Below are 12,389 nucleotides of genomic sequence, written 5' to 3' on the forward strand. Positions count from 1 at the left end.
ACAGCCCATTTGTGAGCATTTACTACCATCCAAGAGCTAGCTATGAGGGAGGAATTATTGCTACCCTCATATTACAAATGAGGAAACTGAGGCACAGCTCACGGAAGAGCCGGGAAGCACACCAGGCCATCTGCCTCCAGAGCCACCCACTAAACCTGCCTCCAGCGGTGACTACTTTGCTCTTATTGGGTTCTGTTCTCCCCAAGAGGCAAGGGGGCCCCTAAGCCAATGGCTTTGGGGGCCATGACAAGTGGGGGCCACTGAGCTCTGGGAACAGAGAAGTGTTGTTTCCAAACCTCACCCGATGGGCCTGTCTCTGTGAAATGCACCGCTCCTGCCTGCACTCTCCCGGCCACTCACAGCTCCCTCCCACCCACTCTCCTGCCTTCTCCCTGCCTTTCCTGGTCCCTTGGCCTGGAGTCTGCCCTACCCCAGGAAGAGGGTATCTGGGACTCCAACAGAGGCAGAAAGTTGCTGCCTTTAACCCTTTTCTGAGACCCCAAAATGTAAGTACCCAGGAAGGCTGATGTCATTCAGTAGTTGTTCAAATGAACATAACCCCAGCCGTGCTGGGAGCACTCCCGGGCATTACCAATCCTCACTGTAGAGGTGGGAAATTGAGGCTGGCGAGGTCCACAATGTGCCCCCCCAGACCCCACAGCTGGGGACACAAGTGAATCCAGACCTGAGATTCCAAGACCCTCATGCTTCCCAAGCACCTGCTTCCAGAGCTCCAAGAATTCCCACCCTGTGTTCCCTCCAGCCCCATGTTCCCCACACGGGGATGGCAGGGCTGGGGCCCCCGGAGTCACCGGGCATGGTGGATTCCCCCACAGGAACCACATTGAGCACTGAGTTCTGCTCAAATGTGGGCCCAGGGGCTGGCTGCGTGAGCACCCAGAAGTGGCCACAGGGCACGGAGGGACCAGCTGCACCAGTTTCTGATACCACAGGATGCTGAGGTCTCAGCAGGGGTCTGCCCTGGGGCCCTTCTCCTTGGCCCCTGGTTCTTGGCTAATATCTGCTGAGCCAGACACAGCTCCCACTTTGGAGGCACTCCGCCCAGGAGGGAGACAGACAAACAGACAGACACACCAATAGGGACCATCCCCTGATACTCCTAATGGCTTTCTAAGCACTGTGGGATCCCATTCCTCTCTCACTATTACACAGATGAGGAAGCTGAGGCAGGGAGAGGGGCAGGCCGCAGATGCACAGCAGCCTGGCAGGGGTGGACCGGGGAGGCTCCGAACTCAAGCCTTGGGTCAAGAAGTCATACGTCCTATGGCAAACCCCAAGCCAGTGTTTCTCCAAGTGCGGTTCCAGGGCCTCCTGATCACATTCCCCAGGAGTGTCCTGTTGAGAACCATGTCCAAGGACTGTGCCCTCAGAGGGGCAAGTGCTGCGGAGGGGCAAGAAATCCAGGATGCATCCCAAGCAGCTGCTCCAGAGGAAATAAAGGCCTTCCCTAGCCCCAACCACCAGCTCCCTTATGTTTGAAAGAAAGAACACAAGACTTCAGAGTCAGGCCCACTGGGTTTCTAAGGCTGTCTTCCCTCCTTCTTGCTGTGTGGCCTGGGGCAAGTTACTCACCCTCTCTGATCCTTGTTTTCCTCATGGATGATAACAACAAAAAGACAAACAACCCAATTTCAAAATGGGCAGTGGCCTTGGACACATACATTTCACCGAATGGTCAGCATGCACAGGAAAGGTTGCTCAACGTGATGAGTCATTAGGGAAATCCAAATCAAAGTCACAATGAGACAACGCACACCCACGAGGATGTCTGGAATCCAAATGCAAAGCGAGTGTTGGCTGTTGGGAGAGACGCGGGACCTGCACACACTGCTGGGGGCAGGTGAAGCGGCAGGGCCACCGCAAAAAAAGCTTGGTACCGCCGCAACAAATTAAACCTGGAATTATCCTGTGACCTACCAATTCCACTCCTGGGTGTCTATCACGGAACACTGAAAACACACATCCACATGAACACTGGAACGCGAATGTTCCCAGCAGCCTTATTCATAATGGCCAAACAATGGAAACACCCTAAGTATCCATCCATCCACAGACGAATGGATAAGCAAAATGTGGTCCACTCATACAGTGGAACATATTCAGCCCGGAGAAGGAATGAAGTTTTGTTTTTGTTTTTGTTTTTGTTTTTTTGAGACAGTTTCGCTCTTGTTGACCAGGCTGGAGTGCAATGGCGTGATCTCGGTTCACTGCAACCTCCGCCTCCCAGGTTGAAGCAATTCTCCTGCCTCAGCCTCCCTAGTAGCTGGGATTACAGGTGCCTGCCACCAGGCCTGGCTAATTTTGTATTTTTTTTTTTTTTAGTAGAGACAGGGTTTCACCATGTTGGTCTGGCTGGTCTCGAACTCCTGACCTCAAGTGATCAGCCTGCCTCAGCCTCCCAAAGTGCCGGAATTACAGGCGTGAGCCACTGTGCCCAGTCAGAAGGAATGAAGTTCTAATGCGAGCTACATCCTGGATGAGCCTTGAAAACACTCGGCCAAATGAAAGAAGCTGAATGTAAGTGAACTGCATGATTCCATTTCCATGCACTGTCCAGAACAGGCAGATTCACCGCAACAGAAAGTGGACTCATGGTTGCCAGGGACTAGAAGGAGGAGGAATGGGAGTGACTGCTTACTGAGTATGACAAGTTAAAATTAAGGTTTAATTGAGCAAAAAACGATTCACGAATCAGCTGCTCTCAGAACCAGAACAGGGTCTAGGAATCCACGTCTGCACCGTGATCAGGCAGCATTTATGGACACAAAACGGAAGAGAGGGTCAAGACAGCTTGACTGGTTACAGCTCAGCCTTTGCCTTATTTGAATGGTTGGCCACCTGGGACTGGATTGACAGATGCTCAGCTGCTGTGGTTGGGCCGAGCTTCACCTATTTGTTACAAGAGCCCCTCCTAAGTCAGGCTTCCGTTAATCACAAACTAAGTTAGGTTGCAGTTCATTAAGAAAGGATTCATGTACAGAGGCATCTTCAGGCTAAATTTCATTTAGTTTGAAAAATAAAAATAGGCCGGGCACAGTGGCTCACACCTGCAATCCCAGCACTTTGGGAGGCTGAGGTGGGAGGATCCCTTGAGCCCAAGAGTTTGAGAGCAGCCTGGGCAACATAGCAAGACCCCATCTCTACAAAAACATTTTAAAATTAGCCACACATGGTAGCATTTTAAAATTAGCTACTTGGAGAGGCTGAGGCAGAAGGATCACTTGAGCCCAGGAAGTTGAGGCTGCAGTGAGCTATGAAGGTGCCACTGCACTCCAACCTGGGTGACAGGGTGAGACACTCTCTCCAAATAAATAAATAACAAAATAAACAATAAAAATAAAAGCTGGGCGTGGTGGCACACACCTGTAATCCCAGCACTTTGGGAGGCCGAGATGGTTGGATCATCTGAGGTCAGGAGTTCGAGGCCAGCCTGGCCAACATGGTGAAACCCCATCTCTACTAAAAATAAAAAAATTAGCCGGGCATGGTGGCATGTGCCTGTAATCCCAGCTACTCGGGAGGCTGAGGCAGGAGAATCTCTTGAACCCAGGAGGCTCAGGTTGCAGTGAGGCAAGATTGTGCCGCTGCACTCCAGCCTGGGCGACAGAGTGCGACCCCATCTCAAAATAAGTAAATAAATAAATAAATAAATAAAATCCTAACCACCCCCAGATGACTAAATGGACCCCCTCTTGGCCAAACGGACTCCAGAGAAACCTTAAAAAAAAACCTGAGTTCCAGGCCACAATGGGACCGGAGGTCAGACACACTGCATTATACCCCCTCCTTCGCTAAATGCCATTATGCTTTCCCTCTTAAGGGTTAAGCAGAAACCAGCCCTTTCGAAAGCCTTGCCCTACTGCTGATTCCAACCAACCACTCAGGGCTGCCCCTTTCTTTTTCAGTTTCAACACAGACTGTCCTTTTTGGGGGGATGGGGGAGGGTAGGTCTTGCTCTGTCTCCCAGACTGGAGTACAGTGGCACGATCTCCACTCACTGCAACCTCTGCCTCCCGGGTTCAAGTGATTCTCCCGCCTCAGCCTCCCGAATAGCTGGGACTACAGGCACTCGTCACCACACCCAGCTAATTTTTATATTTTTAGTAGATACAGCGTTTCACCATGTTGGCCAGGCTGGTCTCGAACTCCTGACCTCATGATCTGCCCGCCTCAGCCTCCCAAAGTGCTGGGATTACAGCACGTGAGCCACGTTGCCCAGCCCAGCATTCCTTCTTGATAAGAGTCCTGATCTTGAAATGGTTCTGGCTCATCTACAGAGGCTGCACAGAGGCTCTTCCCGTCCTCTGCTTCACCTTCTGACATGTAGGGCCCTGACTGTAATACTTACATATTAAGTCTCTACCCCAAAGTCAACATAGGATGCATGTAACATACATGTTAGCTTATGACAAATGCACACACGTCTCCGTGAATATTCATAGCTCTTCCTATAGCCTGTTGAATACATATACTTAGCTAACCCGTTCATCATAAATTCCCTTCCTGGAAATGCCTGCTTCTGGCTCCTGCCAGAGGCTATGCTTCCCAGCCTGAGGTTAGCCAGCCTGCAGGCTGCAGCCCTTCATGAGGAAGAAAGCTCTCGGCGCTCAGTGTGTGGTCCTGGCAATTCTTCAGCTGACAAGTTTAACAGTTTGTTTTTGGGGTGATGAAAATGTTCTGGGCCTAGATAGTGGTGATGGTTGTATAACATGAATATACTAAATGCTACTGAACTGTGCACTCTAAAATGGTTAAATTGGTGAAAAGAAAAGAAGAGGGGGTGGTCGTGAACGCTCCATGTTGAGGGCACCCTGAGCGCAGTGCCTGCCTGGCCCTGGGCAGCGAGAATGTCCATCCATCTCCCTGGCCTGTTACTGGGGCTGAAAGCTGGCAAAGGAGGGAGAGAATCCGGGGGCTGGTCTTTGGGCTCCAGCGACCCAATTGGAGGAAGAAAGAGGTAGAGGGGTGAGAGGGTGCAGAGAACCAACCCTGGTTTTGCATAAATGAATATGCATCATGGCCACCTCCCACTGAGCAGAAAATGCAAACTCAACACCTCCCCACCAGCCTCATTAAGTGCAATCAGGCCTGATTCCCTGAGGAGGGGGACAGCCATCACGGTAGGCTTTGTTACAGCCCTGCCACCCACCCATCCACCCTCGCACTCCAGCCCCGAGTTCCCCAGCTGCTCACTAGCCTACTCCAGGATCCCAAAGAGTGGGAGACGCCAACCACGGCTTCAATGCGGAGGAGAAGGAGCCCAGGCTGGTGTCGGGAGCTGCAGGTTTGAATCTCAGCTCCATTGTAAATCGCTTGATCCCAGGCAGCCTCAGCCACCCTGAGCCTCAGTTTTTTTATCTGTGCCATTGAAATATTTCCATTCCTGCCTAGAATTCCAAACGAACTGGCTTAATATTAGCTATTTGCTACCAACTCGCTGAGCGACCTTGGCCAGGGAGCGGGGATCTGTCCCCTCTCAGGGCCTCGGTTTACCCCGCTAGAAGGAATGCACCGGACAAGCTGCCTCCAGTCCTTGCCCATTTCTGGCTCTAAGAAAAGTCTGGTGTGAGATAAACCCACAGAGCTGCTGTGCACCCCTGAGCAGTGCCAGGCGGAACAGAACACCCCTCTCTCTTTCTCCTGGTGCCCCAGACGGTGAGTCACCTCCCTGCCATGCAGCCTCTGTGGCCAAGGTGCATGGACCTGCCAAGTGCCCCAACCAACATGTGCCATGAGAATACCATGAGAACACAGCCCCACTCCTCAACAGCTTGCCAGGGACTTGCCAAGGCCTGGGTAACCCCGCCCGACCCCACCCCACCTCCAGGCACCACCCCAGCTTCCTTATGCCCTGGCCACATGGAACTCCGGCCATTTCCAGAATGCACCTCTCTTCAGGCAAGACTGGCTCCAGAATTTTCCAGGCCCGGTGCAAAACCAAAATATGGGGCCCCAGCCGGGAACAGAGATGTTGGCCCCCTTCCCACAGGCCCCACCACCTCAGCCCATGGAGGACAGGCCACCCCTGAGCAATGGCCACCCGAGAAGTGACCTGGCTGCCACCCTGGACAGAAGGCAGGGCCTGGGGCCCCAGCAGGAGGAGAGCGGGCAGCTGAGAACCTGTCCCAGGAGCTGGGGAAGGGACAAAGGAGGCACAGCCCGTGAGCCCAGACTCCAAGCCCCAGGACATGATCCACGGTCCCAGCAACTCCACTTATAGAACACCAAGCCCAGGATAAGACGATGAAGAATCTCAGGACGGTGAGCGCAGAGCATCCACCCCAGTGGGCCCTTCTGAGTTCGGGGCCCTGTGTGACCACCTGGTTACGGGCTGTGAAACTGGCCCGTGTTTTCAGGCTGCTGCCTGCCCTGTACCCTCGGCCTGGGAAGTCCTCGGCCCCTGCCCGGGCAAACATCTCTTCCTCTTCCCGGCCTGCAAAGCCCGCCCTGGCTCTCCGGAAGGCCAGCTTGTGCGGGGAGCTGGGGTGAAGGGTGTTGGCTCGGGCCGGGAGGGCCCTTCCTGCCTGCCTGTGAACATGTCCTGAACAGGGGCTTCCAGGGCCTGTGCTCAGGCCCAGGCAAGGTGGGACAGCTGAAGGGTGGCTGCCTGAGCTGGTGAGCGCCCTGCCTCAGAATCTTCAGGATCCTGCAGACCTAGGCAAGGTCTCATGAATCATCAGAGAGCGTTCCTCCACTCGACCCAAACTGCCTGGAGCCCCAGTCACCAGATCTGACCCTGGCGTCTGAGAGCCAGTGTGTTCTGACAGCCAGGGAGACTCAGGAACAGATCTGGCCACCAAAGCCCAACGTATCACCCATCCTTACTGTCAGGCCTCTGAGCCCAAGCTAAGTCATCATATCCCTGTGACCTGCACATACACATCCAGATGGCCAGTTCCTGCCTTAACTGATGACATTCCACCACAAAAGAAGTGAAAATGGCCTGTTCCTGCCTTAACTGATGACATTATCTTGTGAAATTCCTTCTCCTGGCTCATCCTGGCTCAAAAGCTCCCCTACTGAGCACCTTGTGACCCCCACTCCTGCCCGCCAGAGAACAACCCCCTTTGACTGTAATTTTCCTTTACCTACCCAAATCTTATAAAACGGCCCCACCCCTATCTCCCTTTGCTGACTGTCTTTTCAGACTCAGCCGGCCTGCAACCAGGTGATTAAAAGCTTTGTTGCTCACACAAAGCCTGTTTGGTGGTCTCTTCACACGGACGCGCACTAAACTTACTTTATTTCTTGCCATCACCAGGTTCAGAGCAGCCCAGAGCTGGCCTATTCATGTCTCCATAGGCAGATGGCTTGGCTGGGACCTCACAGGGACAGGGAAGGGGGCAGCTGGAGGACGAGGGGCTGCTGGGCCGTAGGCCTGAACATCTGGCAGCCTCATCGGCAGCAGAAGCAGAGGCCTAGTCAGCCAGCAAAGGCTCACGGTCAAGGAAGCGACGCAGGAGCTCCCACTTCAGGCTCTGGGCAGGGCCAGGGATTAACCCAGGGATTTCACACACGACAAAGAGCCTCAGACTGGCCTCTCCCCTGCAGCCCTGGCCTCTCCTCTAGGCACCACCTGAGCCGCCCACCTAAGCGGCCAGGCTGGGAGCCAGCAGGGGGCTCATAGTCAATGCGTGCACACCATGAGCCAAGCTGCATGGGCCCCATGGAACGTATCAACCATTAGCCTCCAGACAACCCAGTGAGGTGGGTGCCAACACCTCCAGTTTGCAGATGAGAAAACTGAGGATTCTTGAAGCTCAGCCCTGTGCCCCCATGGAAGTGCTGGAAAGCCACTGGGTTGCGGTTCACATGCAGCTCCACTGACTCCAAAGCCCCTACCCCATCCCCCATCCCTCTTCCCTGGCACAGTCCTCCCAGAGGGAAAATTGGCGAGGCTGAGAGGGCCCACATCTCTCTGCCCACTAGACCGTGAGCCCTAGGTCTGCTTTGCCCACTGCTGTGGCCCCAGCCACTGACCCAGGGCTGGGTACACAGCAGATGCTCAATAAATGTATGTGAAATGAAGAACAGTGGGTGAGGACCACTCACTTCTCTGCTTGGGAAGGCCTCCCATGACAAGGATTCCCCCAGGATGACAATGGCCAGGAGACTGGGAGGGGACAGCAGCGAATGGGAGGAGAGGCTAGAGCGCACGAGTGACGGAGCCCACTATTCCCACTGTGAGGCCACACTCAGTGCTGGGGGAAGCAGCTGGATGAGTCCCAGAGAATCATTCACCACAGCGTGTGTCTTAGGGACACAGATTCACAAACCACAAGGCACCACGCCTGCTTTACAGGAACCCCAGGAAAGCAACAAGAGTAACGATTCTCGAGGGTTTACTCTGGGCCAGGCTCTGCCCTTAGCACCGCCCATGGAATATGACGTCTTAAGCCGGGGTCCCGGGTTTGGGGTTTTGAGGTACACACCGTGAAAAAGCACCCACTTGTAACTGCATCTTGAGTTCTCCTTGTTTCAGAAAAGGTCCAAGCCCATCCTAAAAACCCCACCCAGGGAGGAGAGGAGCTTATCCGCCATTTTCCATGCACGCGACGTATGTAGAAGCGTGATCCGCCACCGCACCTGCACTGACTTTAACCCCCCATGAGATGGCTCAGCCCAGCAGCCCCGTGAAACCCTGGGATCCCCTCTGCCCGGGAGGCGCTGCTTTGGGGACCATCCCTGGTGTCCTCCTTACTTGCTGCAAGTCCTACAATCCCCTTGTTAAGCCCTCCGTGGCTGTGGTCGCTGGACTGTCACCCACCACGCAACTGAACCTGCCCGCTGTCCGGGTAACAACATGACAGCAGGGTGTGACTCTGAGCTGGACTGCTGGGCTGGGACCCTGGCCCCCCACAACAGGCTGTGTTTTTGGGAATCAACTTCTCTCAGCCTCAGGTTCCTCTTCTGCCAAATGGACACTGCCCCATCCCCTACCTCCTAGGCAACCATGAGATTTGTACCCACTGAACATGCAAAGCTCTCAGAACAGTGGCTGCGACCACTGTAAGTGGCCATCCCAACTAAACCTCAAGGCAAAACGCAAGGTGGCTCCTGCCATCTGGCCCTTTCTACAGGCGCATAGGGTGGTTCTCCACCAGGCTGCTGTGCACCTGTCACAGTGAGGCCCCAAATGTTGACCAACAGGAGGGACACATTCCTGCTTGTTAAGTGCAGCTGCGGCATCACTGTGCTCTGGGGTCTCAAAATGGGTGTGTGGAGGGGAGGAGCCCGCTCTGAGTGACAGGGACCACAGAGCCAGCTTGGCATCCCCAAGAAAGATCACCCCTCCTGGGGCCAGGAGCTGTGCCTGGTGGCACCAAAGGCAGCAAGGGCGGGTGGGGTTCCATTCACACAGTGTCACCAAGGAGGCTTCCCACCCTGAGACAGCCGGCACCGCTCTCCAGGGCAGTGTCCTTCGAGGCCTCTCAGTCCCTCGAGGAAGCACCCACCAAGTCTCATGTTCTGAGGGTGCAGATGGCAGTGAGGAGGGGCTGAGGCAGGCTGCAGGGGCCCAGGGGTGCTGTGCACCCTCACAGAGGAAAGGACGTCAGAGCCAACCCGTGACAGCAAAGGCCATCTGTCCAGAGCAAAAGGCCGAGGTGCAGGAAGACCACCAAGTGTGCCCAAACCAAAAGGAAGCGCGTCCAGGAGAGGGCAGCTACAACCGCCAGGAAACAAGCAGTCCCTGGTAGCCCAGATAACGCCCCTCCAAGGGACTTGAGGGAGCAAAGCGGGAATGAGCAGAATCATGTCTGTGTTTCTTTCCCGTTTTCCTTTTTTTTTTTTTTTGGCTAACACTTATGGAGCACCTAAATGTCCATGTTTCACAACTTTCACCGAAAGATCCTGCAGGCTGTTTGCAGAGCAGGTGCTCTGTGAACCCCAGCTCTTCCTCAGTTGCTGTTATTATTATCATTATTAGGGGGCGAAGTTACTGTTCCAACATACGTCCACTTAAGGTAAAGCCCGGAGTCTCCCTACCTTGCCACTCAGTCCCCAGCATTCTCCAAAGAAGGCTGATGAGTGAGCTGTGATTAAAATGGAGCAAGTGAAGAGGCTGAGGCAGCAGAGCCGGTGGCCCAGGTCCGGAGCAGGTGGCAGCTGGCAGACACCGGATGCCCCGTCCTGCATGTATTCACATCGGTCTTCCCAGGTCTCATCCCCCAAGGCTACACGTGATAGAACCCACCCAGTATGGATTCCATTTTCTGGAGTGTAAATTATTCTTTGAGGATCCAGTGCTTTGCAAAGGGCAGGAGGCTGGCCCTGTGACATTGTCAGGAAGGTTTAGCCATCAAGGGCTGTGTCACCAGGTCACCCTCTCCCCCATCACCACAGGTTCCCTCCAATAACACCAACTTGTCCTCTCTAACCTGAACACTCCACTTTACAGATGGCCTGGCCATGGCAAGTGCGATCTATGGTCCTCACGACTGCCTTGGTCATGATCATCATCCCCAGTCCATAGAAGGGGCCGTGAAGGCTCAGAGAGGGTGAGGGCTTTGTCCAGGGTTGCCCAGCAAAGTCAGAGCTGGAGAGGAAGCCATGTTTCCTGATGCCCAGGCCAGGGTTCTCACAGTGTTGAGCAGCCTTGACCTTGCTGGGAAATAATTCCTGCCCATCCCAGACCAGACTGGGGCACCCCCAATCCCCATTTTGGGCCAGGCCTTCCAAACACAGAAACAAAGGGGCAGAACTCATGGGCAGCAGCATCTCCAGATCTAGCTGTCTGGGGAGGCGCAGGCTCATTTCCACTAGAAAAGCGGGATTTGCCTTCCCTTAAATGCACATTCCACTCTGCGTTTTTAAAAGGCAAAATAAAGACACTTCCCAGAAGCATTAAAAACAAGGAACAGAAATGTCCAAGGATCACAGTGTCCAGCCCCTGGCTTAGAAGATGAAGCAGTGTCTGAAGGCACCTGTTCTTCCCAAATTAACCCAGCAGCCGCCATCTGGATCACTGCAGCTGCCTCCTCCGCTGCCACCACCATCACCCACATGGCCCCCGGTCCCTGTTCCTCACATTGCCAGCCAACATTCTGAGTCAAGTCCCAAGGCAGCAGCACCGGGGGGCCAGGTATCTGTGCCCTAGCTGCAAGGGAGGCTGGGAGACGCATCCCCAGCATTGTCTGCTCTATTCACAGAGTGGGAGGCGAGCTCAACACAGGGGGTACTGCACTTCACAGTTTACACAGCACGGTGAAGCCCACGCTCTGCCCTCAGCATGGTGCATGGAGGCAGGGGTAAGCAGGGGGATGAGAGACGGCTCTGGTCTTGAGTTAATGACACAGAATTCGGAAAGGCTGGGCTTGCAAACGTGACTTTAGAAAGCTTCCTATTTCTAAAAGGTGGATGCTATTGAAGAATTCACAATCATCTCAGGCTGTAAATGAAAGTAATCCTAAGAACACATGCCCGAGACCCAGAAGAGAACATGGCAGGAGTAAAAACAAACAGCCCATGTAATACAAGTTGGTCACAGCCAAATCCTCTTAGGCCCATGAGCATAATCTTTGAACAGGATTCTAAACTGCAGAGCCTCCCAGCCTCCCTCAAACAAGGCTGTAAAATGAAACAGCAAAGGTCTTTCTCCAGCAGAGAAGAGAGTCCCTTCTGTAATTCCTCACAAAGACCTGTCCTCCTGCCCCAAACAAAAGGTGCCCCAGCACAGGCAGAACAACTGTGGGGTGCCAGGGCCTGGTACCCACAGCCCCGATACCAGCCATCCAGGGCTCAGCACCCCATGGCCGGCACTGGGCCTAAGGAAACATACTGTTTTATGTCGTTAATGCCTATGACGCACAGCTGCTTAAGGCTGCCTGGGGACCGTAAGTCTGCAGTTGACATTGCCGTCCAAATGCAGGATTGCAGACTTTAAGACTCTCTGAAGATGTTGTTTGTGCCTTAAGTAAGGGTAGAAACCCAAGATGGCAGCACGTTATTTATAACTGAGCACACCAGGAAACACTCTAATGTCCAACACAGGAAATTGGTTCAATAAATGAGGATCTACCTACAGGCCCGTCGACCCGGGTGGCCGTTACATAGCAGGCTGCTCGGTGAAAAGGTATGTGTGAACACGCCCCCAATACACGCACACATCAACATACAACAAAACATACACATATCCCAACACAAACACATACACATCAATAAGCTCACCACACAGCAACACACACACACCCCAATACACATACCCCAAACACACACACACCCCAATATACACACACCCCAACACACACATGTCAACAAGCACACACCAACACACATATCAACACACACACACCAACATACACATCAACACATACACTAAAACACACACCAACATACACATCAACACATACACTAACACACACACCAAC

General features: G+C 53.7%; 1 protein-coding gene across 4 annotated transcripts in view, besides 5 other annotated features; it reads right to left on the reverse strand.

Moving 5' to 3' along the window:
- PPP2R2C (protein phosphatase 2 regulatory subunit Bgamma) overlaps positions 1–12,389 on the reverse strand; it is a 243,219-nt gene that overhangs the window by 201,180 nt on the left and 29,650 nt on the right. Inside the window, exon 1 of one of the 4 annotated variants that reach the window (XM_047415892.1) lies at positions 7,262–7,284. The exons of the other annotated variants lie outside the window; for them this stretch is intronic. The gene's annotated coding sequence lies outside the window, so the exon portion shown is untranslated. Of the gene's footprint in view, positions 1–7,261; positions 7,285–12,389 lie in introns of those variants that run through there. 4 annotated transcript variants of the gene reach the window in all.
- Positions 4,576–5,463: an enhancer, noted in NCBI's record as "OCT4-NANOG-H3K27ac-H3K4me1 hESC enhancer chr4:6528063-6528950 (GRCh37/hg19 assembly coordinates)". NCBI's record gives its function as "activates a minimal SCP1, AML or CMV promoter by ChIP-STARR-seq in naive H9 embryonic stem cells {active_cell/tissue: H9 hESC(naive)}" and the evidence as "EXISTENCE:reporter gene assay evidence [ECO:0000049][PMID:30033119]".
- Positions 4,862–5,156: a silencer, noted in NCBI's record as "tiled region #1138; HepG2 Repressive non-DNase unmatched - State 21:Repr". NCBI's record gives its function as "represses a minimal TATA promoter and a strong SV40 promoter by Sharpr-MPRA in HepG2 cells {active_cell/tissue: HepG2}" and the evidence as "EXISTENCE:reporter gene assay evidence [ECO:0000049][PMID:27701403]".
- Positions 5,464–6,351: an enhancer, noted in NCBI's record as "H3K27ac-H3K4me1 hESC enhancer chr4:6528951-6529838 (GRCh37/hg19 assembly coordinates)". NCBI's record gives its function as "activates a minimal SCP1, AML or CMV promoter by ChIP-STARR-seq in naive H9 embryonic stem cells {active_cell/tissue: H9 hESC(naive)}" and the evidence as "EXISTENCE:reporter gene assay evidence [ECO:0000049][PMID:30033119]".
- Positions 6,352–7,239: an enhancer, noted in NCBI's record as "NANOG-H3K27ac-H3K4me1 hESC enhancer chr4:6529839-6530726 (GRCh37/hg19 assembly coordinates)". NCBI's record gives its function as "activates a minimal SCP1, AML or CMV promoter by ChIP-STARR-seq in naive H9 embryonic stem cells {active_cell/tissue: H9 hESC(naive)}" and the evidence as "EXISTENCE:reporter gene assay evidence [ECO:0000049][PMID:30033119]".
- Positions 7,240–8,126: an enhancer, noted in NCBI's record as "NANOG-H3K27ac-H3K4me1 hESC enhancer chr4:6530727-6531613 (GRCh37/hg19 assembly coordinates)". NCBI's record gives its function as "activates a minimal SCP1, AML or CMV promoter by ChIP-STARR-seq in primed H9 embryonic stem cells {active_cell/tissue: H9 hESC(primed)}" and the evidence as "EXISTENCE:reporter gene assay evidence [ECO:0000049][PMID:30033119]".

The sequence above is a fragment of the Homo sapiens genome, chromosome 4 (assembly GCF_000001405.40).
Source record: "Homo sapiens chromosome 4, GRCh38.p14 Primary Assembly".
Lineage (NCBI taxonomy): Eukaryota > Metazoa > Chordata > Mammalia > Primates > Hominidae > Homo > Homo sapiens.